The sequence below is a fragment of the Homo sapiens genome, chromosome 19 (assembly GCF_000001405.40).
Source record: "Homo sapiens chromosome 19, GRCh38.p14 Primary Assembly".
Taxonomy (NCBI): domain Eukaryota; kingdom Metazoa; phylum Chordata; class Mammalia; order Primates; family Hominidae; genus Homo; species Homo sapiens.
The window spans coordinates 4,173,182-4,199,005 of record NC_000019.10 but is presented as its reverse complement, the minus strand read 5'-3'; the positions used below and the strand labels follow the sequence as shown (position 1 = coordinate 4,199,005).

Genomic DNA, 25,824 nt, shown 5'->3' with positions numbered 1-25,824 from the left:
GTCTCCCCCAAATTCCTGAAGTGTTCTGTAAAACCATCCTTCCCAATGATACCGTCATGTCCCAAAAATATCCTCCAAAAACATCCCTCAAATGTTCTCCCAAACTGTTCTCCAAATCATTACCTCTTCGCAAAATCGGCTCTCCCAAAATAGCTTCCAAGTTGTCCCCTCAATGACCCCATCTGTCTCCAAAATGTTTTCCCAAAACTGCACCCCCCAATGCCCTCTAAATGTTCCTAAATGTCCCCATTTGTTTCAAAGAGTCTTCCAAAACGTGTCCACATGTCTCCCCAAATGTCTCTTCCATTCCCCCAAAAGCTGCCCCAACCTCTGTTCCCCCCCACCCCCCGCCGCCGACCATCTTTCCCGGGTCTGGAATGGGGGGGTGGTCCAGGTCAGCCGGGGACGGGGAAGGGAGGGGAGAGGAGGTACCCGCGCCCCGCCCGCTCCTGCGCCCCCTCCCCGGGCCCTACCGCGAAGGAGGCGGCTGCGCACAGACACAGCTGCTTCATGGCGTCCGGGGCGCGGGGCGCGGGGGGCGCACGGGGTTCCAAGAGGAGGCGGCGGCCAGAGGGTCTGGAGGGACCGCGGGGAGCGGCCGGAGGGCGGGGCTGGGCGCTGCCGGAGCTCCCCGCCCCGCCCGCCCGCCCGGTCCCGCCCTCCCTGGTGCCGCCCCCTCCCCCTTGCCCTCCTCGCCAGCCCCCTCCCCCACGGGATGGAATGGGAAGACCCAGGTAGGGGGCTGGGGGCTGGGGGCTGAGGGAAGGGGCGCCGCCCCGGCCCCTCCTGACCTTGTCGCCTGGAGGATGAGGAGGACGCGGCGCCGGGGGCCCGGCTCCCTCACCAGCGCAGGCCGCCGGCTGCATCTCCAGGGGACCCGCGGGCGTCCATCTCCACCTCCTCCGAGTCGGCCAAGGGCGCGCAGGTGCCTCCGGGCCCGCGACGTCCGCAGCCTCGCACCTCCACGCGGCCGGCAGGGCTCTCGCCACTCACACTTTCATTCATTCACTCATTCATTCGTTCGCCCATTCGTTCATTCATTCACCGGCCCGCCCATTCATTCATTCGTTCACTCACCCATTCGTTCATTCACTCGTTCATTCATTCACTCACTCGTTCATTCGTTCACCCACTCGTTCATTCCTTCACTCATTTGTTTATTCGCTCACCCTTTCATGCATTAATTCACTCACCCATTCGTTCATTCACTTATTCATTCATTCGCTTGTTCATTCGTTCATTCACTCGTTCATTCCTTCACCCATTTGTTTATTCGCTCACCCTTTCATTCATTCACTCATTCATTTGTTCACCCATTCACGGGCTCACCCATTCATTCATTCATTCATTCGTTCATTTACTCGTTCATTCGTTCACCCATTTATTTGCTCACTCTTTCATTCATTCATTGGTCTCACCCATTTGTTCATTCATTCATTCTTATATGACCCATTCACTTATTCATTCCCACACCATTCCTTCCTGCATTCACTCATTCCTGCATTCATTAACTCACTCATTTGTTCATCCATTTGTTGGCTCACCCATTCATCCATTCATTAGTTCACTCACCCATTCATTTGTTCACCACCCATTCATTCATTTGTTCATTCCCGCACCATTCATTCATTCATTCATTCCCACACTCATTTGCTCATTCATTGGCACGCCCATTCGTTCATTCATTCACTCATTGCCTCATCCATTCATTCATTCAATCAGTCATTCGTTCATTCATTCATTCATTCGCCACTGGGGAGCTGCAATCCTACACACCTGAATTTGAATCCAGCACCCCGCCCCTGCCCCAGCCTTTCCTACCTATATGACAGGGCCAACAGACTTACCTATTTTGGACTTCTCCTTCCTCCTCCGTAAAATGGGTTTCATAATAAATAGTTCCTACTGCGGAGGGTTACCGGGAGGATGCCAAGGTACTACCTGGCAGCACTCAGTCGACCAGTGCCTAGCATACAGTAAGCGCACCATAAAACTGTGACTCGTTCCTCACAGAAAGAGCTAGCTGGTCCCGGCGCAGCTCTGACATTCTCTAGCCATTTCCGGTCAATTTCCGCCACTCCTGGGACCCACGGCTCCTCCGGTAGAGGAGGGGCCTTGGGTTCCTTTCTGTCACTGTAGCGTCCCCAGTGCCTGGCCCATGGCAGGTGCTCCACAAACATGCATCAGATGAACACTTGGGGGAGATGCTCCTTCAAGCAGTAAGCATTTATTGAGCGCCCACTGGATGCCACGCAGCATTCGCAGGCCTGGAGACTCTGGGGCACAGCCAAGACCCTTGCAGGTAATTGGCATTTTAGAAGGAGCCCTGGAGGCCAGGCGCGGTGGCTCACGCCTGTAATCCCAAAACTTTGGGAGGCCGAGGCGGGCAGATCACCTGAGGTCAGGAGTTCGAGAACAGCTTGGCCAACATAGTGAAACTTCGTCTCTACTAAAAATGCAAAAATTAGCCAGGTGTGGTAGCGGGCGCCTGTAATCTCAGCTACTCAGGAAGTGAGGCAGGAGAATCGCTTGAACCCTGGAGGCAGAGGTTGCAGTAAGCCGAGATCGCGTCACTGCACTCCAGCCTGGGTGACAGAGCGAGACTCCACTGCAAAACAAATAAACAACAACAAAAACAAACAAACTAAAACAACAACAACAACAACAAAACCGAGGTCTTCCAGAGCCAGAATTTAAGAGCAACGACGCAGCAGACAGGTGACAGGGGCTTGAATTCCGTTTGGTTATATCATCCTTGCTGTGTGACCTTGAGCTAATCGCTTTCCCTCTCTGAAATTCTCCCTCTCAATTTCTCAACGGTTAAATGAGATAGATAATAGGACAGGCACCAAGGAAGCACTGTGGGCATTTGAGGCTGGATCTTTCTCTAGAATGGGGCTGTCCTGGGCACTGCAGGGTGCCGAGCAGCATCCCTGGCCTCCACCCACTCCACACCAGGAGCACTCCAAGTTGTGACAACCACAGATATCCCAACACTGGCAAGTGTCCCTCCATTGACACATTGACCACTGGCTTAGGGCTGGGTGAGCATTGAGCATTTACACGTCGGTGTGGTCCGTGATTATTCTTAGACTTTTACTTTTTTTCTTTTGAGACGGAGTCTTGCTCTTCCACCCAGGCTGGAGTGCAGTGGTGCGATCTCGGCTCACTGCAAGCTCTGCCTCCCGGGTTCAAGCAATTCTCCTGCTTCAGCTTCCCGAGTAGCTGGGATTACAGGCACACGCCACCACGCCTAGCGAATTTTTGTATTTTAGTAGAGACGGGGTTTTGTCATGTTGGCCAGGCTGGTCTTGAACTCTGACCTCGTGATCCACCTGCCTTGGCCTCTCAAAGTGTTGGGATTACAGGCGTGAGCCACTGCGCCCGGCCCTCTTAGACATGTTTGGACAAGAGGAGGGAGGAGTGGGAACCAAGGCAGGAAAATGGAAAGTGACAGGCATTTGGGAAGGAGGGTGTCCTTGGAACTCTTCTCTCCTTCCACCCTTGGGGGTGGGGAGGTCCTCTGAGCTTCTCCAGAGAAGAGACCGAAACGGATCTCCCAGCTCAGGGCTTCAGTTTCCAACTGTCTCCTACACTTGTCCTCCTGGATGCCATACAAGATCAGAGCAAATGGCCAGGCATGGTGGCTCACGCCTGTCATCCCAGCACTTTGGGAGGCTGAGGCAGGCAGATCACCTGAGATGGGGAGTTCGAGACCAGCCTGACCAACGTGGCAAAACCCCGTCTCTACTAAAAATACAAAAAATTAGCCGGGCGTGGTGGTGGGCGCCTGTAGTCCCAGCTACTCGGGAGACTGAGGCAGGAGAATGGCGTGCACCCGGGAGGCGGAGCTTGCAGTGAGCAGAAGTCGTGCCACTGCACTCCAACCTGGGTGACAGAGTGAGACTCCCTCTCTAAAAACAAACAAACAAACAAACAAACAAAAACCTGGGCGCGGTGGCTCACGCCGAGATCGCACCACTGCACTCCAGCCTGGGAGACACAGCGAGACTCCATCTGAAAAAAATCAATCAATCAATCAGAGCAAATGCCCCTCGGAGCCCACTGAGGTGTGTACCATGGATACTGTCAGCCCTCCAGGCTTCATCCAAGCCCTGGCATCACCGTGACACCTCTCTCTTGCCCCACACTCGGTCCACCGGCCAAGCCCACTGGCTGCACACTGTGTCCTGTTCTGCCCCTTCTCACCCCTTCCACGGCCACCACCATAGTCTAGCCCCATCACTGCAGGTTCTGCCTCTGGGATGCATCTTTCTTCTTCAGCCTCTGACCTTGTCCCCTTGTCCCTTCTCCCCCAGCAGCCAGAGGCAGCTTCCTAAACCTGCATCAGATCTCATCTCTCCTGCACAAAAGCCTCCAGAGACCTCACTCAGCTTAAAATGCAAACTGCTCACAGCAGCCCAGATCCTGCCCACTGCCTGTTTCCGTAGAGAATGGTATTTACACGTGTGAGTCGTTGGAGGGGGGAGAGAAAAGCAAAATAAGAATCATCCTTCCTGACACGTGAAAAATGATATGAAATTCACATTTCTGGCTAGGTGCGGTGGTTCACGCCTACAATCTCAGCACTTTGGGAGGCCAAGGTGGGCTGATCGCCTGAAGTCAGGAGTTCAAGACCAGCCTGGCCAACATGGTGAAACCCCGTCTCTACTAACAATACAAAAATTAGCTGGGCACGGTGGTGCACGCCTGTAATCCCAGCTGCTCGGGAGTCTGAGGCAGGAGAATCGCTTGAAAGTGGGAGGCTGAGGTTGCAGTAACCTGAGAGCACTCCAGCCTGGGTGACAGAGCCAGACTCCATCTCGGAACAAAACAAAACAAAACAATTCACATTTCAGTGTCCATAAATAAAGTTTTTTCGGGGCCAAGCCCTGCCCATTCATTTGTAGATCGTTGGATGCCACATGCAGGATATGAAGAAAAAAGTGTAGACAGTCAAAGGCTATTCTCAGGCTGCAATGGCAGAGCTGAGGCTGGTCTGCACCACAAACCAAAAATATTAATCCTCTGGCCTTTTAAGAAAAAATTTGCTAACCCTTCTCTGAGCAGCCCCACTCTGCCAGTGCCTGACCCCTGACCTCATGGAGTTTTTCCTTCCTTCCTTCCTTCCTTCCTTCCTTCCTTCCTTCCTTCCTTCCTCCCTCCCTCCCGACGGAGTCTCGCTCTGTCGCCCAGGCTGGAGTACAGTGGCATGATCTCTGCTCACTGCAAACTCCACCTCCCGGCTTCAAGTGATTCTCATGCCTCAGTCTCCCGAGTATCTGGGATTACACGCACCCGCCACCATGCCTGGCTAATTTTTGTATTTTTAGTAGAGACGGGGTATCACCATGTTGACAGGCTGGTCTTGAACTCCTGATCTCAGGTGATCTGCTCGCCTCAGCCTCCCAAAGTGCTGGGATTACAGGCATGAGCCACCGCGCCTGCCATCATCTCCATTTACATTTCCCTCGGTGTAATCCATGCTGCCATAGTAGCCTCCTTCTTGTCCTTCAAACAGCTGGGTCCCACCTCCAAGCCTTGGCCAGTGCAGCTCCTTCTGCCTGGAGCACCTGCCCCACCGTGCACATGGCTGCTTTCTTTACTGCTGTCCACTCTTGGAGATGCCTCTTCCAAGAGCCCTTCTCTGACAGCCCTTTCTTTAGCTATATTTTTCCTTCATTGTTGTCTTTTTTTTTTTTTTTTTTGATGGAGTCGCTCTATTGCCCAGACTGGAGTGCAGTGGAGGGATCTCGGCTCACTGCAACCCCTGCCTCCCGGATTCAAGCGATTCTCCTGCCTCAGACTCCTGAGTAGCTGGGATTACAGGTGCCCACCACCACGCCTGGCTAATTTTTGTATTTTTTAGTAGATACGGGGTTTTGCTGTGTTGGCCAGGCTGGTCTCGAATTCCTGACTTCAAGTGATCCACTCACCTCGGCCTCCCAAAGTGCTGGGATTACAGGCGTGAGTCACTGCGCCAGGCCTCTTATCACCACCTAAGATACTACATACCTTTTTAAAAATATTCTGTTTACTCTCATTTTTTATTTTTATTTATTTATTTATTTTGGGACAGGGTCTTGCTCTGTCACCCAGGCTGGAGTGCAGTGGTACAATCATCATTCACTGTAGCCTCGACCTCCTGGGCTCAAGTGGTCCTCCCATCTCAGCCTCCTGAGTAACTGGAGACCACAGGCACACACCACCATACCCAACTAATTTTTGAATTTTTTTTGAAGAGATGGGGTCTTGCTATGTTGCCCAGGCTGGTCTCAAACTCCTGGGCTTAAGTGATCCTCCCATCTTGATCTCCTAAAGTGCTGGGATTACAGGCGTGAGCCACTGCGCCCAGCTTGTTTCCTCTTGATCTCTCCCTTAGAATGTCACCTCCTCAGGGGCAGTGATTTTTGTCTATCTTAGTCACTGCTGTATTCCATGCAGGACCAGCTATAGGTTTTGCAGGGCTCGGTGAAAAATGAAAATACGAGGCCTGGCCGGGCGCGGTGGCTCACGCCTGTAATCCCAGCACTTTGGGAGGCTAAGGCGGGAGGATCGCTTGAGGCCAGGAGTTCAAGACCAGCCTGGGCAACGTGGTAAGACCTCACCTCTGAAAAAAAAAAAATGCATACTTAAGTAAAAAATAAAAATATAAAAAGAAAAAAGACAGAAAGAGAAAGAGGACTTTCCAGGAAGCATTGATGTATGGAGTCTGTGACTCTCTAGAAACCCCAATCTTCCCACTTGGGAGATTTTCCTGAAACCTAAAGTAAAGGCAGGAGGTCAGTGAAGCCCCAAGTGAACAGCTCCAGGTAACTCCCATTTTATGGATGGAAACACTGAGGCCCACGGACAGCCCAAGGGGGATCAGAGTAAGCAATGCCAACTGTTGGGACCCCAAAGAAAGAAACGGTGTTGGTTGGGCACAGTGGCTCTCGCCTGTAATCCCAGCACTTTGGGAGGCTGAGGCGGATGGCTCATTGGAGGTCAGTAGTTTGAGACCAGCCTGGCCAACATGGCAAAACCCATCTCTATTAAAAATACCAAAAAAAAAAAATTAGCTAGACGTGGTGATAGGCACCTGTAATCTCAGCTACTCGGGAGGCTGAGGCAGGAGAATCCCTTGAACCCGGGAGGCGGAGGTTGCAGTGAGCCAAGATCACACCACTGCACTCCAGCCTGGGCAACAGAGCAAGACTCTGTCTCAAAATAAATAAATAAATAGGCTGGGGACGGTGGTTCACGTCTGTAATCCCAGCACTTTGGGAGGCTGAGGCAGGCGGATCATCTGAGGTCAGGAGTTCGAGACCAACCTGGCCAACATGATGAAACCCCGTCTCTACTAAAAACACAAAAATTAGCCAGGTGTGGTGGCGTGCACCTGTAATCCCAGCTACACGGGAGGCTGAGAGAGGATAATCTCTTGAACCCGGGAGGCGGAGCTTGCAGTGAGCCGAGATCATGCCATTGCACTCCAGCCTGGCAACACAGCGAGACTCTGTCCCAAAAATAAATAAATAAATAAATAAAAATAAAAGAAAGAAAATAAAATAAAAGTAAATACATAAATAAGAAAAAGCCGGTGTTAGGGACCAGGAAAGGCCGGAGAGTGCCCTAAGGAGAGGAGGAGAGGGGTAGCAGTGGCTAGAAGACACGGAACACAAGGTCCCAGTGACAGGAGGGGGGGGCCTGGCCCCTGCAGTCATGGGTGTTTGCTTTCTTCCCTCGGGGCTGCTGAACAAAAGCTGAACTTGACTCCGGCTGCCTGCTGCGAAACTGGAGAAGGGCAGGTGGAGGGATGGATGGCAAGGTGCTCTGGGAGGGGAGGATGGAGGCCCTGCAGCTTCCCAGCAACAGCCAGGCCTCCCATCTGCTGCAACAGTTCCAGCCCAGGCTATGGGCTAACCTCAGGCCCCTCCAGCTCCAGACACTCTCAGAGGCCCTCACACCCGTCTGAGGTTTTAACACCTATCCTGTCCCCATCCAATTTTGACTTTGTCCCGACCCCTCCCATTGCAAACATATCAAAACACACCCACATCCCGAATGAGGTATCTCTTTTTTAGCCACCCACACTTCTTGAAAGATTTACTTAAATATTAAATATAACTATGCTTTGGAAATTAAGCAATCATATGGCTTGGTTTACCAGTGGCTACTACTTCTGAGGAATGCTTGGGGAAAAAAAGCATTCAGGAGTTGACCCCTGAAAAATATGGGTTTGAATGCCCAGGTCCACTTACACATGGATTTTTTTGTTCGTTTTTTGAGACGGAGTCTCGCTCTGTCACCCAGGCTGGGCAATCGTGCAATGGCGTGATCTCGGCTCACTGCAACTTCTGCCTCCTGGGTTCAAGAGATTTTCCTTCCTCAGCCTCCTGAGTAGCTGGGATTACAGGTGCCCACCACCATGCCCGGCTGCCTGGCTAATTTTTGCATTTTTAGTAGAGAGGGGGTTTCACCATGTTGGCCAGGCTGGTCTCGAACTCCTGACCTCAGGTGATCTGCCCGCCTCTGCCTCTCAAAGTGCTGGGATTACAGACGTGAGCCACCATGCCGAGCCAGATTTTTTTTTTTTTTTCGAGACGGAGTCTCGCTCTGTTGCCCAGGCTGGAGTGCAATGGCTCCATCTCGGCTCACTGCAAGCTCCACCTCCCAGGTTCATGCCTCAGCCTCCCGAGTAGCTGGGACTACAGGCGCCCGCCACCACGCCCGGCTGATTTTTTGTATTTTTAGTAGAGACGGGGTTTCACCGTGTTAATGAGGATGGCCTCGATCTCCTGACCTCGTGACCCACCCACCTCGGCCTTCCAAAGTGCTGGGATTACAGATGTGAGCCACCACGCCCAGCCTATACATGGATTTTTGACTGTGCAGGAGGGTGGGCTGTAATTGTTCAAGGGTCAACTATCATCGAGGAATTGAGTCCACGTGGGAAGAAAAATTTTAGGATCACTCCACAGTGAATGAAGCTCACCCAATGCCACATTTTGTAGGCAGTTAATGGACCGTTTTTCACCTCTTTCTCTCCCGCTGTCTGTCTCCACCCATTCTCTTTTCAATCAATGCACTCCCCTCCCACCTCCAGGCCAATCATGTTCATAGTAACGCAGCCCTGGGGGAAGGCTTGTGTCTCACTTCCTAGCTGTGTGACCTTGAGCAGGTGTCTTAACCTCTCTGGGCTTCCCTCCCTCATCTATAAAATGAAGATAATAAAAGCTCCTGCCTCATAACACGGTGGTGAGGATTAAATGAGCTGACACCTGCAAAGCACATCTTATATTTTTTATAGTGCTCAAAAATCAACAAAAATGAAAATAAATAAGCCGGGCACAGTACTGCACATCTGTAGTCCCAGCTACTTGGCTGAAGCGGGAGGATCTCTTGAGCCCAGGAGTTTGAGACCAGCCTGGACAACATAGTGAGACCCCATCTCTTAAAAAAAAAAACTTAGGGCCGGGCATGGTGGCTCATGCCTATAATGGCAACCCTTTGGAAGGCCAAGGTGGGTGGATCACTTGAAGTCAGGAGTTTGAGACCAGCCTGGCCAACATGGTGAAACCCATCTCTACTAAAAATACAAAAAAAATTGCTGGGCGTGGTAGTGCGTGCCTGTAGTCCCACCTACTTGGGAGGCTGCGGCATAAGAAAAGAATAGCTTGAATCCAGGAAGTGGAGCTTGCAGTGAGCCAAGATCACAACACTGCACTCCAGCCTGAGCAACAGAGTGAGACTCCTTCAAAAAAAAAAAAAAAAAAAAAAGAAGAAAGAAAAATTAAAAAAAATAAAGTGAATCCAATGATATTAAATTAAAATGTTTTAAATAAAATAAAAATGAATAATGAAATGAATGGGTACATGATAATTAATAAATAGTTTAAAAACAAAATAAAATGGGCGGAGTGCAGTGGCTCACGCCTGTAATTCCAGCACTTTGGGAGGCTGAGGCGGGCAAATCACCTGAGGTCGGAAGCTCGAGACCAGCCTGACCAACATAGTGAAACCCTGTCTCTACTAAAAATACAAAATATTTAGCCAGCCATAGTGGCAGGCGCCTGTAGTCCCAGCTATTTGGAAGGCTGAGGCAGGAGAATTGCTTGAACTCAGGAGGCAGAGGTTGCAGTGAGCAGAGATCGTGCCACTGCATTCCAGCCTCAGCAACAGAGTGAGACTCTGTCTCAAAAATAAATGAAATCAAATCAAATCAAATGAGCCCAAACAACTGAAGGAAGCCACAGAGGGGGCATGACATCCCCAGAGTCACCCAGGACACCAGGGACAGAGGAAGGATTTGAACTCAGAGCCACCTGATTCTATCCCAGGCTTGGCTGGGCGCAGTGGCTCACGCCTGTAATCCCATCACTCTGGGTGGGAGTTAGGAGGATCGCTTGAGGCCAGGAGTTTAAGACCAGCCTGGGCAACACAGCTACACCCCATCTGTACAAAAAATAAAAATTAGCCCAGTGTGGTGGTGCACGCCTATAGTCTCTGCACTTTGGGAGGCTGAGGCAGGAGGATCGTTTGAGCCCAGGAGTTGGAGGCTGTAGTCGGTTGAGATAGCACCACTGCACTCCAGCCTGGGTGACAGAAAGAGACTCTGTCTCAAAAAAAAAAAAAAAAAAAAAAATGGACCAAGCGTGGTGGCTCATGCCTGTAATCCCAGCATTTTGGGAGGCCAAGGCGGGTGGATGACCTGAGGTCAGGAGTTCAAGACCGGCCTGGCCAACATGGTGAAGTCCTGCCTCTACTAAAAATACAAAATTAGCTGGGCATGGTGGTGCGTGCCTGTAATCCCAGCTACTCGGGAGGCTGAGGCAAGAAAATTACTTGAACCCGGGAGGTGGAGGTTGCAGTGAGCCGAGATCAAGCCACGGCACTCCAGCCTGGGCGACAAGAGGGAAACTCCATCTCAAAAATAAAATAAAATAAAATAAAAAATGAAATCCAGGCTTGTTCCACAGGCCTCTCTTTTTGGCTTTTCAAAAATGGCTTTCAAAGATCCTGAGCTCCCACTCACTCGCACTCTCTGCTCCTGCCAAGAGAATCTGCCTGTTATGCCTGTGCATCAAGCAGACCTGGTCCAGCCTCCGAATCTTTACCCACACAGGTCCGTGCCCCGCTCCTCACGTGCCTGCCTTCACTTCTCTAAATCCTCCCTATTCTTCCAGGCTCTGCTCCGGTGCCACCTCCTCCAGGCAGACTCCCTGATTTCTCCAGGCCACACCAGATGGGGATGTTGTATCCCATGATACGAAAACTAAAGGCTCCAAGTCAAGCTTGCCCACCCAGGCCAGGCACAAAGAGGTGCTCAGGAAGGCTGATTGCCTGTCCCTGGAGGTGAGCCCTCCCTTTCATCCTCCCCATCTGTGCCCTGAATTGGCCGCCACAGGGACTTGAGGGGGCTGAGAAGAATGGGGACAATGGAGGAAGAAGCATGTCTTTCTAGGAGTTCATAGCCAAAGACACGGATGCAAGAGAAGACAGCTGGATCTACCTCAGGGCCTTTGCACTGGCTGTTCCAGCCACTTGGAATGCAATTCCTGCAAACTCTCTCCCCCACTCCCCTTCCCTTTTTCTTTTTTTTTTCTTTTTTGAGATGGAGTCTCACTCTGTTGCCCAGGCTGCAGTGCAATGGCACAATCTCAGCTCACTGCAACCTCCACCTCCCAGGTTCAAGCAATTCTCCTGCCTCAGCCTCCCAAGTAGCTGGGATTACAGGTGCCCGCCACCGTGCCCAGCTAATTTTTGTATTTTTAGTAGAGACAACGTTTCACCATGTTGGCCAGGCTCGTCTTGAACTCCTGACCTCACGTGATCTGCCTGCCTTGGCCTCCCAAAATGCTGGGATTACAGGTGTGAGCCACCACGCCCAGCCCTCCCCTTCCCTTTCTAATCTTTGCTTTAATACCACCTCCTCTGGGAAGCCTTCCCTGGCCACCCTCTTTAAAACTGCAGCCACCTCCCCTGCCCTGAATGCTTCAATTCCCTTTTCCTGCTTTGTCTGTCTTTGCGACACAAAATACACATTGTCACTTATTTATCTTGTTTCGTGTTCATCTCCCGTACTCAGCGGTCGGCTCCACGAGGGCAAGGATTTTTGCCTGCCCTATTCCCTGGCTGATTCCCCTGTGCCTGGAACAGCGCCTGCTATATAAATATGTGCTGAGTACACACACACCAAAGCAAAAGATCAGGATCCTCGGGAAAGTGGGTCCTTGGAAAAGCAAGGGGTTACTGTGGCCGGGGAGAGCGGAGATTGGACGGGGAGGTGGTACTGGGGCCAAATTGTGAGGAATTAGGAGGGTCTGATTGGTGGCAATGCGGCGAGAAGGAATTCCATGGAGAGCGGACTAGGGCCTGGGTAAAGGCCTGGGCTGGAAAGCTTGTACGGGGAGCAGTGGGGAGGTCATGACGCTAGGGGGCAGCAGAGAGGAAAGGAGAAGAGGTGGGTACTGGAATGAAAGGGTGGATCTTCAGCCAAGCCCCAGGAGACAGAAGGCTGAAGTTGCAGGGGTGTATCGGGCATCTAGGGCCTCACACTCACCTCTGTCTTCTTAAATCGCGCCCTGAGAGTCTTCATAGTTGGTGCCCTGTGTTTCTCCTCTCCACAGGCCACCTGAGGAGGGCAAGGGTGGGGGTAAGGTGAGGGACACCAGTCCTGGTGGGCGGCAGGGTCCGTTGCCTCGCCCTCCTCAAAAGGACCGCTTCCTCCTTCCTGACCAGTCCTGGCCCCTAGAGCAAGACACAGACCTGCTCTATCTCCTACCTGCTGTGTGTCCTTTGGCAGTTTACTTGCCCTCTCTGTTTTACTTCCCTCATCTATACAGTGACAGAAATGATCCTTTCTTGACCAACTCATGGTCAGTTTTCAGCATGGTCCCTACACAGAGCCTGGCCAAACATGAGGGGCTTCATAAATGCATCTCACTGGTATTTCCTGCGGTCCAAACAGATCAAGCCTTTTCTGGTCTCCTAACTTTTACCTGTGCAGTTATTTCTGCCTAGAATGGTTTCTTTTTTCTTCTCTGAACTCCTACTCATCCTTCAAAGCCCAGTTCCAAAATCCCTTGCTCTTATCAGCTTTGCCTCTTGTTCCCAAGCAGAGATCTAACTCCCCAAATTGGGTTCCCGCCTACCCTGGCTGGGTCTCTGCCTCTGCCTCACCCCTGGCTCCATGGGCTGGAAGGGTCTGGGCTGATTCTGTCCTTTTCAACAGTCAGGGGCTCCCTGGGGACTGAAGCCAGGGCTGACGGCTCTCAGCACAGAGGCATGTTTGCTACATAGTCAGAGGGAACCTCCATGTGACAGCAATTCACCCATAGTGGGTGGAGGTCTGGGGCAATGGCTGCATGCATGTGTGTGACGTTGAGTGTGGGGCGTGTGCACACGTGCACTTCTGTCCACCTGGGCCTGTTCTACGTTCCGCATGGGCAGGCACGGAGGTCAGGCAGGCCTATCTTGAGGGGGTGTGTTTTTTGAGGGGTGTGACTGTGAGGCCCTATGTGTGAAAGGGATTTCTGTGATGGAGAATCTGTATTTGCCTCTTACCAAGGAGTAGGGGTTGGCATGGCCTCTACCTGTCCACCTATCTACTCGTGAATTCTCCAAGCCACCCTTCCACGCATTTACCACCTATGCACTCACCTGGACATCCATCCTCCCACCTAAGCACTGTATAACCACCCACTGGCCACCACCCACAAACCCACCCACCCAATTCATGTTCTCATGGTTCTTCATCACCCTTTAATCAGATTTCACCCACACATCCATCCACCCACCCAAACACCTACCAACTCCCACCATTCATCCATCCACTCATCCACCCATCCATCCACTTATCCATCCCTTCATCCATCCACCCAACCACCCATCCATCCATCTGCCCAAGCATCCATCCATCCACCCATCTGCCCACCCAATCACACACCCATCCACCCATCCACCCACCCACCCATCCACTCATCCATCCACTTATCCATCCCTCCATCCACCCACCCAACCACCAATCCATCCATCCACCCACCCACCCACCAGTGCATCCATCCACCCACCCACCAGTCCATCCATGGATCCTTCCATCCATCCATCCATCCACTTATCCATCCCTCCATCCATTTGCCCAATCACCCACCCATTCATCCATCCACCCATCCATCCATACATCTACCCATTCACCCATCTACCAAACCACCAATCCACCTATTCGCCCCCCATCCATCCACCCACCCATCCATTCATCTACCCCTCCACCGGTGCCCATTCACTCACTACCTACCCTTTTTTCTTCTACCTCTGACTGGAGGATTCAATCACACCCAAAGCAGGGGGTAATAAGACACCCAACAGAGGAGTTCACAGGCTGCTTGGGAGAAGACAATCCGTGGGCTTGGGGGAGGGAGAAACGCCTGCTAAATTTAGGAAGCTGCTTGCTGGAAGAGGTGATGGTAAATAAGAAGGGCCTGATGGCCGGGTGGGATGTTGAGCACCTGCCTTGGAGGAAGCTAGGCAGGGCACAGGCCGGCAAGTGGGAAGTGCGTGGGTGAACGAGTGCATGTGTGTGTCAGGGTACCTGGGTAGCTCCGCAGCCTGGCTAGGACTCAGCACGGCTTCTTTCTCCCACATACAAGGGCTCAGGGGCCTGGGGCCATAAGGGGATCCTCCGTCCTGGGCCTCTCCCACCTCCTTCCTCCCCTACCTCCTGCAGCTCCAGTGCCCCGAGCTCCCGGCCACAGTGCCCACTGCCGGCTCCGGTTACCCACTCCCAGCTGGGCCACGAGCAGCTCCAGCCGCTCCACTCTGACACCTGATCGGCTCTGAGCAGGCGGCCGCCCCAGGGGGCCGGGGATGAGCCGAGGGAGGAGACAGGCTGGCAGCGGACTGCCTGTTGGCCAACTGGCTCTGGCGGGAAGACACCCACGATCTTCCCTATCATCACTGGACTGATTTCAGTTTCTGGAAGGAGCCATGCTCTTCCTCTTTCTCAGCCTTTGCACTTGCTGTTCCCCCCACCAGGAACATTCTTTCTGTACTTCATGTCACCCCAACCGGCTCTACCTGACTCATGCACTCTTTATTTATTTATTTATTTATTTTTGAGACGGAGTTTCATGCTTGTTGCCCAGGCTGGAGTGCAATGGCGCGATCTCCGGCTCACCGCAATCTCCGCCTCCTGGGTTCAAGCAATTCTCCTGCCTCAGCCTCCCGAGCAGCTGCGATTACAGGCCACCACACCCAGCTAATTTTGTATTTTTAGTAGAGACGGGGTTTCTCCATGTTGGTCAGGGTGGTCTCGAACTCCCAATCTCAGGTGATCCACCTGCCTTGGCCTCCCAAAGTGCTGGGATTACAGGTGTGAGCCACTGCGCCCGGCTCACTCACTTTTTAGATCTTTGCTGCAACATCCCCTCCTCCAGGAAGCCCTCCCGGATGCCCCCAGCCTGGGTCAGGTGCCTCCTGTGAGCCCCCTCACTGCCCTGTGCCCTCTGCATCACCCATTGCACCCCAACCACACCATGTCACCATTACCTGGTCACATGTTTGTGTCCACCCGCAGCCACCAGGGCATAGATGGTACCACCTTTGCTCTCCAGTGTGCCCAGTACAAAGTAGGTACTCAACACATGATTCTTAAATGAGTCCTCCAGGCCACCAGCCCCATTGACCTTGAGCAGGACCTGTCCTGCAGAATGCAGAACCTCCAGTTGGATGATACTCAGATAACTTGGCCGGACGCAGTGGCTCACGCCTGTAATCCCAGCACTTTGGGAGGCCGAGGCGGTCAGATCACCTGAGGTCAGGAGTTCGGGACCAGCCTGACCAACATGGAGAAACCCCGTCTCTACTAAAAAATACAAAAATTTGCTGGGTGTGGTGGCGGGCGCCTGTAATCCCAGCTACTAGGGAGGCTGAGGCAGGAGAATCGCTTGAACCCAAGAGGCGGAGGTTGCAGTGAACCGAGATTGCGCCACTGCACTCCAGCCTGGGCAACAGAGCGAGGCTCCGTCACACACACACACACACACACACACACACACACAAATGAGATATTCAGGTAACTCTGCGTGGCATTCAAAACCCTTAGGCTGGGGTCCCTGCTGTCCGGCTCTGTCCTTACGGAATTTACTAATCCGTAAAAGGGGTTGTGGGGACATGGATAGCCTGTGTCCCGCATTTTAGAGGTGACTGGAGAACTCTCACGTAGGCGGCCGCCCCAATTTCCCGCCCGGGTCATCGGGGAGCCCCTTCCCAAGCCCCGCAAACACCTGCATGCAAAGAGGCAGGCTTCCTTCTGACAGCAGATAACATGTCGCCTGCGGCGTCAGCAAGAGGCGCATGCGCCTTGCCGTGGGAGGCCGGGTGCGCAGGACTGGAACGCGGTTCCTCCTTCTTCCCCGCCCCGCCCCGCTTCCGGCGGAAGCGGCCTCAACAAGGGAAACTTTATTGTTCCCGTGGGGCAGTCGAGGATGTCGGTGAATTACGCGGCGGGGCTGTCGCCGTACGCGGACAAGGGCAAGTGCGGCCTCCCGGAGGTGAGCGCGTCTGAGGGTCCCGAGCATCGCGCCCCAGGGCCGCGGGCTGGGAGCGGCCGGATGGCAGGGGGGCATTGTGGGAATATCAGGGGGCACTGAGGCTAGACAATGGGAGGGACTTCCCAGTGAGGAAGGGGCGGGAAGTGACGCCCCTGCGCGCCGGGGGACGCCAACACGCCCAACTCTGTGGTCACCCTGTCGGGGCTGATCGGGGAGAGAGGGGATGTAGTTCCAGGAAGAGGGGACGACAGGCGCAAAGGGAGGTGGGAATAAACACACCTGGAGAACGATTAGGCCTGGGAGGTTTCCAGAGCCGGGCCAGGACGGGGCTCAAATGCCAGGCTGGGGAGTTGGCACTTTATCCTGAGGGTGATGGGGAAGGGTTTTGCCCTGGCGAGGGGACTGGACAGAATGTGCCAGAAAGATCCCTCCAGCCACTCAGAGGGGAAGTGGAGGGATCGGCTGCCCCCTCCACGCACTGTGGGACTTTGGGGAAGTCACTTCCCTTTTGGGTCTCCATCTCCAAACTTTCTGCAAACGAGGTGAAGATGGCCCCATTCCATAAGGCTGGCCCATGCATTCTGACTCATGCATTTAATGAGCGCTGATGGTGTGCGCCCGTCCAGAAGCCCCACTCTTCACTGCTGCTGTTAGTCACTTTATTATTATTATTATTATATTTTTGAGATGGAGTTTCTCTGTCGCCCAGGCTGGAGTGCAGTGGCGCGATCTCGGCTCACTGCAACCTCCGCCTCCTAGGTTCAAGCGATTCTCCTGCCTCAGCCTCCTGAGTAGAGTAGATGAGACTACAGGCACCTGCCACCACGCCTGGCTAATTTTTGTATTTTTAGTAGAGGCGGGGTTTCACCATGTTGGCCAGTCTGCTCTTGAACTCTTGATCTCAAGTGATCCACCCACCTTGGCTTCCCAAAGTGCTGGGATTATAGGCGTGAGCCACCATACCCGGCCTGTTAGTCACTTTATTCCACCAACATTTATAGAGCACTTACTGTAGCTCAGGCACTTTCTAGGTACTAAGGCCACAGCCAGGAGCAACACAGATTAAAAACCCCTCCTTCTAGTAAGGGAGACTGACTAGGGGTTGCATGGAAACCAGTTGGCCAAGGGAGGCATCACTGTCACTGAAGTGACATCTAAGCCACAAGTTACAGGAGGTGAGGGAGGGAGCCATGTGGGTATCTGGGGGAAGAGCATTAAAGGGTGTGGCCCTGAGGCGGGACTGTGCCTGGTGTGATAGAGGAACAAGGAGGAGACCTGTGTGGCTGGAGCAGAGTGAGGCAGGGAGAGGGAGGAGAAGAGGGCAGGGAGGGGGCAAGGGAGGTAGTGCAGGGCCTGGTGGGCCGTGGGAAGGGCTAGGGCTTTGACAAGGCAGGTGGGAGGCATGGAAGGTTGTAGGAAGAGGAGGGGCATGAGGACAAGCTGCCTTTTCCAATCCATTTTCCTCCCTCAGGCAAGACAGGGACAGCTCAGTCTGTGGCTCGTGCGTGGCCTTGCCACTTGGGGGAACTGTTTTGACCCCTCCGTCTGCTCTCTCCCCCCACAGATCTTCGACCCCCCGGAGGAGCTGGAGCGGAAGGTGTGGGAACTGGCGAGGCTGGTCTGGCAGTCTTCCAGTGTGGTGTTCCACACGGGTGCCGGCATCAGCACTGCCTCTGGCATCCCCGACTTCAGGTCTGTGATTGTGCAGGGGAAGTCGAGGCAAGGCCTACCAGGCTGCCAGAGGCTTCCCTGCGAGCCACACACATCTGGGAATGAGAACACATCCATCTGCTTTCCTCCTGGATGTGTCCTGGGTACTCCCTTTAAGATGTGTCCCTTGGCTGGGCATGGTGGATCACAAGGTCAAGAATTCCAGACCAGCCTGGCCAATATGGTGAATCCCTGTCTCTACTAAAAATACAAAAATTAGCCAGTTGTGGTGGCACACATCTGTAGTCCCAGCTACTCGGGAGGCTGAGGCAGGAGAATTGCTTGAACCTGGGAGGTGGAGGCAGTGAGCCGAGATTGCACCACTGCACTCCAGCCTGGGCGACAGAGTGAGGCTCCGTCTAAAAACAAAACAAAAAGATGTGTCCCTTGTCACAACCAGCATTCCACTCACCTCATTGGCCAGAACACGGTCACCTGATCACACCTGGCTGCAAGGGTTGCTGGGAAATGTAGTCTTTCATATTTGCAAGCGTAGCCAGGTGTGGTGGCAGGCACCTGTAATCGCAGCTACTTGGAAGGCCGAGGTGGGAGAATCGCTTGAACCCGGGAGGCAGAGGTTGCAGTCAGCCAGGATCATGCCATTGTACTCCAGCCTGGGCAACAGAGCCAGACTCCATCTCAAAAAAAAAAAAAAAAAAAAAAAAAAAAAGCCAAGGCGTGAATTTCTCCTCCTTCTCCTCTTCCATAACCTGCTGTGGCTCCCCATTGCCAGGCAGTGTAGAGTTCTGAATACCTTGTGCTGGAAGCTGAAGCCCTTCCTGCCCCAGCCCTGAATCACCTCTCCAACTTCAGCCCCTCCTGCTCCTGCTGCAGCCCCCAAAACACTTGCATTTTCTCCTAAACTCATGGGCTCTTCCCAGCACCCAGGCCTTTGTTTACCCCTTCTGTCTGATCTTCCCTCTCACCCTTCAAGAAACTGCTTAGCCTCCTCCAGGAAGCCCTTCCACGTGCCCCAGGGCCCCCACCTCCACGGGGCTTCCCCAGGCCCAGGTACCTCCTCTGATCCAGGCTTGACTCTTGGGGCCAGAGGATCTGTGTCCACCTGTCTCCCCCAAGATCAAGGGCTTCTGGAGGGCAGGGCTTGGGCCCATGTGAGCATCGTCGGGCTCATTGCAGCAGCAGTGTTGGTTGAATAGAATAAGTCATTTTTGCCTTCGTGTGAATTCATCTCTCTCTCTCTGCCTCTCCCTCTCTCTGTCTCTCTCCAATTCTGTCTCTGACTTGCTTTGTCTTTAACTCTTTATCTCTCTGTCTGTGTCTTGTTCTATCCCCCTCTCCCTGTTCTTGCAACTCACCCTCTATTTCTGTTTCTGATTCCCTCTCTCTGTCTCCCTGTCTCTCTCTGTCTCCTGATTTTCTCTCTCTCCAACTTTCTCTCTATACCTCTCTGATTCTCCCTCTGTCTCTTTTTCTGTTCCCCTCTCCCCGTCCATCTCTCCCGGCCTGCCACCTTCAGGGGTCCCCACGGAGTCTGGACCATGGAGGAGCGAGGTCTGGCCCCCAAGTTCGACACCACCTTTGAGAGCGCGCGGCCCACGCAGACCCACATGGCGCTGGTGCAGCTGGAGCGCGTGGGCCTCCTCCGCTTCCTGGTCAGCCAGAACGTGGACGGGCTCCATGTGCGCTCAGGCTTCCCCAGGTAACACCCTGGCCCCGCCCCCACAAAAGAGCTTGGGGCCCCACAAACCGTGTTTGCATTTTTAGGGGGAGAGTCCCCTTTTCCTGGTTCTATAAGATTCTAGCCCTGAGTTCTTGGCCCAGTGTGTGGAGATCTCTGAGTCCCATGGCTCAGAGCTGTCCCGGCTGAGGCCAGAGGCAGAATTTCCCTCGAGATGGGGCTAAGGGGAGGAGAGCTGTCAGGGTCTAGAAGTTGCAGTTTGTTTTTTGTTGTTGTTGTTGTTTTTGAGACCGAGTTTCGTTCTTGTTGCCCAGGCTGGAGTGCAATGGCGTGATCTCCGCTCAGCCTCCCAGGTTCAAGCGATTCTCCTGCCTCAGCCTCCCTAGTAACTGGGATTACAGGCATGCGCCATCACACCCAGCTAATTTTGTATTTTTAGTAGAGACGGGGTTTCTCCATGTTGGCCAGGCTGGTCTTGAACTCCTGACCTCAGGTGATCTGCCCGCCTCAGCCTCCCAAAGTGCTGGGGTTACAGGTGTGAGCCACCACGCTTGGCCTGTTGTGTTTTTAATATCCATCTTTATTAATCTGACACTAAACGTGTCTGACACTGAAGTGAACCTGTGCTCTGGGGCAGGCTGATTTCCCAATAAAAGTGTGGCCCTCCCCTGCCCCTCTTTGCCAGGTCTCACCCCTGGGGCAACCAATGACAGCCAGGTCAGTTGTTGAGACGAGGAGCTCGGCAGCCAGGGGTGAGGGGTGAGGAAGAGATTTTTCTCTGCTTATAAAAGCAAACGAGGGGCCGGGCATGGTGGCTCACATCTGTAATCCCAGCACTTTGGGAGGCCGAGGCAGGCGGATCACGAGGTCAAGAGTTCGAGACCAGCCTGGCCAACATGTTGAAACCCCATCTCTACTAAGAGTACAAAAATTAGCTGGGCGTGGTGGCGCATGCCTGTAATCCCAGCTACTCGGGAGGCTGAGTCAGGAGAATCGCTTGAACCCGGGAGGCAGAGGTTGCAGTGAGCCGAGATGGCGCCACTGCACTCCAGCTTGGGTGACAGAGCAAGACTCTGTCTTGAAAAAAAAAAAAGCAAAGGAGGGTCAGGTGTGGTGACTTATGCCTGGAATCTCAGCACTTTGGGAGGCCAAGGCGGGCGGATCATGAGGTCAGGAGATCGAGACCATCCCGGCCACATGGTAAAACCCCGTCTCTACTAAAAACAGAAAAATTAGGCTGGGTACAGTGGCTCACGCCTGTAATCCCGGCACTTTGGGAGGCCGAGGCGGGTGGATCACAAGCTCAGGAGATCGAGACCATCCTGGCTAACACGGTGAAACCCTGTCTCTACTAAAAATACAAAAAATTAGCCCGGCGTGGTGGCGGGCGCCTGTAGTCCCAGCTACTCAGGAGGCTGAGGCAGGAGAATCACTTGAACCCCGGAGGCAGAGGTTGTGGTGAGCTGAGATTGTGCCATTGAGGTTGTGGTGAGCTGAGATTGCACCATTGCACTCCAACCTGGGCAACAAGAGCAAAACTCTGTCTCAAAATAAATAAATAAATAAAATAAAGCTGGGATTGGATCTCATGCTTCAGGGCCATTCAATGTCTCGGTTTCTTCCATTATAAACTGGGAATTTGAATTCCTGTGCTTCTGACCTGGTGACATCAAGAGGTTCCCATATGCTCTCGGAGGGGGACGGGCATTTTGTGAGTGGAAAGGGCTTCCCGTTATCTAAGGTGGGTTCAGCCTTGGGGGTTAATGATTCCTTGGGCTCAGAGAGGTTGGTCCACTTGCCCAGAGATGCACAGCAGATGAATGGTGGAGCCAGGAGCTAGAAGAGCCAGAAAGAAGGAGTTGATCAATGTTGTGGGAGAGGAGTCCGGGAAGCCTTCCTGGAGGAGAGGGGCTTAGCACCAGCTCCAAAGCCTGGGCATCCAGGGATCCTTTCCCACCATCAAGCCTCTTCCTGCTCTTCCCACAGGGACAAACTGGCAGAGCTCCACGGGAACATGTTTGTGGAAGAATGTGCCAAGTGTAAGACGTGAGTGCCACCTGGGTGCAGGGGTGGGGGCTCTGCCAGAGGGGGTTGGGGGTCGAATCCGATGTCCCAGAGACCCAGAGGGTATGGGGGGACTGGGGTGTGGCCCTCCTGGGGGGATCTGGGGGCGTGTCTCCCTCTTGGGGGGATATAAGGAGTATGTCTCCCTCCTGGAGGGATTTGGGGGGCATGTCTTCCTCCTGGAGGGATTTGGGGGGGCCGTGCCTCCCTCCTGTGGGGGGTACATCCGTGTCCTGGCACTGCTGTAGCAACCTGCCACAGATGAGCAGCGTAGAACAATAGAAATTTGTGATCTCACAGTTCTGGGGACCAGAAGTCCAAAATCCAGGTGTCTGCAGGGCCATGCCCCTCTGCAACCTGTAGGGGAGGATTTTTCCTGCCTTTTCCTGGCTGCTGGTGGCAGCCAGCCACCCTTGGTGGTCCTGGACCTACAGCCACAGGGGCCTTCTTATCTCTGTGTTTCTCCTTTTTTTTGAGACAGTCCCGCTCTGTCATCCAGGCTGGAGTACAGTGGGGCAATCTCGGCTCACTGCAACCTCCGCCTCCCGGGTTCAGGCAATTATTCTGCCTCAGCCATCCAAGTAGCTGCAACTGCAGGCGCCCGCCACCACACCTGGCTAATATTTGTATTTTTAGTAGAGACGGGGTTTCACCATATTGGCCAGGCTGGTGTCGAACTCCTGACCTTGTGATCTGCCCGCCTCAGCCTCCCAAAGTGCTGGGATGACAGGCGTGAGCCACCACGCCCGGCCCAGTATAACGATTAAAGTCAGGAAAAGTAAAGTGGACATCGCCTTCTCTAATCCCGAATCCAGACTCGGCCTGTCGCCCCCATGCTCCAATTGTTCCTGTTTCTCCTGGTCCGGGATCCCATGCTGGGTCTTGTCTCTCGAGCCCCTTCGTCTGTCTGGGACAGTTTCCTGCTTTGTTTTCTGTGCTCCGGGCACCGAGCAGCATCCCAGCCCGTTATTCATGGAAGGCTACTCGTTCCGTGTCGCTGGGTGCTAGTTCTGGTCACCTGTCCACCCCCCACCTCCCTGGGAGAACGTCACCCTAGAAACAGTGCGAGAGTCACCCATGGGAGCTCACCTGGTCCCATCCTCCCCCTTCCTCCCTGACACAGGCAGTACGTCCGAGACACAGTCGTGGGCACCATGGGCCTGAAGGCCACGGGCCGGCTCTGCACCGTGGCTAAGGCAAGGGGGCTGCGAGCCTGCAGGTGAGCCACCCCCACCCATGCCCTGGGCTCCAGGGGAGGCTGCGAGGCCCCTGAGGACTCTCCTCAGCTTCCTCATTGCAGGGGAGAGCTGAGGGACACCATCCTAGACTGGGAGGACTCCCTGCCCGACCGGGACCTGGCACTCGCCGATGAGGCCAGCAGGTCTGACCCCCCACCCCCAGGGAGCCCATGGTGGGGCGGGGCGGGACGACAGCAGAAACACAGCCAGCTCCAGCATGGGACAGTGGCTGAGGCTCACAGGCAGTGAGGGGAGGCTTCCTGGAGCAGGTGGGCCAGGCCAGGGGCTGCACACACGCACTCACACACACTCGTCACCTCATGGCTCTGGGTGGGTGCTACACAAGGAAACCAAGGCTTCCGCCAGGTGTCTCCTCTATCCAGTGCTGCCCAGCCGGGAGGTGACCGAGCCAGGGTCCCACCCTAGGTGTCCAAGCTCTTACCACACTGTGATACTCCCCGGAAGTGTCTAAGGGCCCGCCCAGATCAATGACCCCGCCAACGGACCGCAGAGGAGGGCAGGGCGGGATCCCAAAGGCTGACTCGGGAGTGGGGCTGGCCTTGACCGCCCCGGTGAGCACAGATGGCCTAGGTGTGAACCGGCCCCCAGGGCTGGCTCGGGATGTTGGCAGGAGCAGGGCATCAGGCTCAGCCCACGCTCCCCGGCCCCAGGAACGCCGACCTGTCCATCACGCTGGGTACATCGCTGCAGATCCGGCCCAGCGGGAACCTGCCGCTGGCTACCAAGCGCCGGGGAGGCCGCCTGGTCATCGTCAACCTGCAGCCCACCAAGCACGTAGGTGTCTGAGCCTACCCCTGCCCAGGGCCACCATGCACCCTCTGTCCCCCACGCCTGACCCGTCCCGCCCCTCGGCAGGACCGCCATGCTGACCTCCGCATCCATGGCTACGTTGACGAGGTCATGACCCGGCTCATGAAGCACCTGGGGCTGGAGATCCCCGCCTGGGACGGCCCCCGTGTGCTGGAGAGGGCGCTGCCACCCCTGCCCCGCCCGCCCACCCCCAAGCTGGAGCCCAAGGAGGAATCTCCCACCCGGATCAACGGCTCTATCCCCGCCGGCCCCAAGCAGGAGCCCTGCGCCCAGCACAACGGCTCAGAGCCCGCCAGCCCCAAACGGGAGCGGCCCACCAGCCCTGCCCCCCACAGACCCCCCAAAAGGGTGAAGGCCAAGGCGGTCCCCAGCTGACCAGGGTGCTTGGGGAGGGTGGGGCTTTTTGTAGAAACTGTGGATTCTTTTTCTCTCGTGGTCTCACTTTGTTACTTGTTTCTGTCCCCGGGAGCCTCAGGGCTCTGAGAGCTGTGCTCCAGGCCAGGGGTTACACCTGCCCTCCGTGGTCCCTCCCTGGGCTCCAGGGGCCTCTGGTGCGGTTCCGGGAAGAAGCCACACCCCAGAGGTGACAGGTGAGCCCCTGCCACACCCCAGCCTCTGACTTGCTGTGTTGTCCAGAGGTGAGGCTGGGCCCTCCCTGGTCTCCAGCTTAAACAGGAGTGAACTCCCTCTGTCCCCAGGGCCTCCCTTCTGGGCCCCCTACAGCCCACCCTACCCCTCCTCCATGGGCCCTGCAGGAGGGGAGACCCACCTTGAAGTGGGGGATCAGTAGAGGCTTGCACTGCCTTTGGGGCTGGAGGGAGACGTGGGTCCACCAGGCTTCTGGAAAAGTCCTCAATGCAATAAAAACAATTTCTTTCTTGCATCTCAGTGTGTTTACTTTATTTTATTGAGCCAGAGTCTCACTCTGTCACCAAGGCTGGAATGCAGTGGCGTGATCTCAGCTCACTGCAGCCTCTGCCTCCTAGGTTCAAGCAATTCTCCTGCCTCAGCCTCCAGAGTAGCTGGGATTATAGGTGTGTGCCACCACACCCAGCTAATTGTTTGCATTTTTTGTAGAGATGGGGGTCTCACTATGTGACTCAGGCTGGTCTCAAACTCCTGGGCTCAAGCAGTCAGGCCACCTTGGCCTCCCAAAGTGCTGGACTTAACGGGCGTGAGCCACTGTGCCCAGTGAGTGTTTAAATTCCCTATTTGTGGCAGGTCCTCGCCCCCCTGGGTCAGGAGTTCGTGGTCCCCTCCTCCCTGGACCAGCTGCTTGGGCTCCGTTGCAATCCCTGCCCCTCAAGCCTGGGGGCCGAGGAACAAGGGCTCACCTCTCCCCCCACCCCGCCTCTGGAGGGATCAGGCCAGTTTTCTGATGATGAAGCCAATAAGGCAGCTGGCATTTTCTGAGCACTCAGTTTGTAGTTATACACTTATGCACATGCTTTTTGTTGTTGTTTAACATTTACCCCCAGGCTATGAGTCCCCACCTGTGCTTTGGGCGCGATTTTGCGATGGCGCCCGGGCAGGCGCGCACAGCCCGCAGTGGGGGCGACCCCACAGACGAGCGCAGGAGCAGCCGGGTTCCACTCTCCCCAGCTGTGACCTTAGGCAGTCCCTCCACTTCCGACGCCTCGGTGTCCTCGCCCGCAAAATGAGCAGGGTGGGCCGCCCAGATCCCCGGGAAGGCAGCTGCCTTCCCCGCAACTCCGGAGGGGACACCTTGGAAGCGCCACGCCTGCCTCCCCGCACTCCGCCCGCCGCCGCTCTCCAAGGTGCTGAAGTCGTGCCCGGCGCCTCTCCCTCC

At 54.6% G+C, this 25,824-nt stretch overlaps 2 protein-coding genes across 25 annotated transcripts in view, besides 3 other annotated features; one reads left to right on the top strand and one right to left on the bottom strand.

The window, feature by feature from the left end:
* ANKRD24 (ankyrin repeat domain 24) overlaps nucleotides 1-16,317 on the bottom strand; it is a 42,126-nt gene extending 25,809 nt beyond the window's left edge. For 4 of the 15 annotated variants that reach the window (XM_011527756.3, NM_001393985.1, XM_011527758.3 and 1 more), the window contains exons 1-2: nucleotides 16,266-16,317; nucleotides 12,545-12,616 (exon numbers count right to left, since the gene is read on the bottom strand). In XM_011527756.3, the coding sequence (XP_011526058.2) occupies nucleotides 12,545-12,616; nucleotides 16,266-16,271 (78 nt within the window). In that variant the 5' untranslated portion in view covers nucleotides 16,272-16,317. Of the gene's footprint in view, nucleotides 1-473; nucleotides 614-791; nucleotides 917-12,544; nucleotides 12,733-14,278; nucleotides 14,389-14,698; nucleotides 14,819-15,528; nucleotides 15,653-16,265 lie in introns of those variants that run through there. The other 11 variants (NM_001393552.1, XM_024451405.2, NM_001393553.1 and 8 more) reach the window with 6 other exon arrangements.
* Nucleotides 12,642-12,761: an enhancer, noted in NCBI's record as "active region_13761". NCBI's record gives its function as "activates an Ori minimal core promoter by ATAC-STARR-seq in GM12878 lymphoblastoid cells {active_cell/tissue: GM12878}" and the evidence as "EXISTENCE:reporter gene assay evidence [ECO:0000049][PMID:35858748]".
* Nucleotides 16,260-16,309: an enhancer, noted in NCBI's record as "active region_13760". NCBI's record gives its function as "activates an Ori minimal core promoter by ATAC-STARR-seq in GM12878 lymphoblastoid cells {active_cell/tissue: GM12878}" and the evidence as "EXISTENCE:reporter gene assay evidence [ECO:0000049][PMID:35858748]".
* Nucleotides 16,380-16,469: an enhancer, noted in NCBI's record as "active region_13759". NCBI's record gives its function as "activates an Ori minimal core promoter by ATAC-STARR-seq in GM12878 lymphoblastoid cells {active_cell/tissue: GM12878}" and the evidence as "EXISTENCE:reporter gene assay evidence [ECO:0000049][PMID:35858748]".
* SIRT6 (sirtuin 6) lies at nucleotides 16,443-24,897 on the top strand. Of its 10 annotated transcripts, none has more exons than NM_001321060.2 (8): nucleotides 16,443-16,532; nucleotides 18,097-18,224; nucleotides 19,720-19,902; nucleotides 21,868-21,927; nucleotides 23,069-23,164; nucleotides 23,246-23,326; nucleotides 23,895-23,978; nucleotides 24,060-24,897. In NM_001321060.2, the coding sequence occupies exons 1-8, from the start codon at nucleotides 16,467-16,469 to the stop codon at nucleotides 24,106-24,108; spliced, it is 747 nt and encodes a 248-aa protein (NP_001307989.1). In that variant the 5' UTR covers nucleotides 16,443-16,466; the 3' UTR covers nucleotides 24,109-24,897. The 10 variants fall into 10 exon arrangements, with proteins under 10 accessions (NP_001307989.1, NP_057623.2, NP_001307987.1 ...); NM_016539.4 differs by having other exon boundaries at nucleotides 23,855-23,978; NM_001321064.2 differs by lacking the exon at nucleotides 16,443-16,532 and adding an exon at nucleotides 16,700-16,795.

Bases quoted from the DNA above. Each gene is read 5' to 3' on its own strand.
- SIRT6 (NM_016539.4), top strand. From the start codon at position 16,467: ATGTCGGTGAATTACGCGGCGGGGCTGTCGCCGTACGCGGACAAGGGC. The intron at 18,225-19,719 runs GTCTGTGATTGT...TGCCACCTTCAG, and splicing joins TCTGGCATCCCCGACTTCAG to GGGTCCCCACGGAGTCTGGA. The intron at 23,327-23,854 runs GTCTGACCCCCC...CCCCGGCCCCAG, and splicing joins CTCGCCGATGAGGCCAGCAG to GAACGCCGACCTGTCCATCA.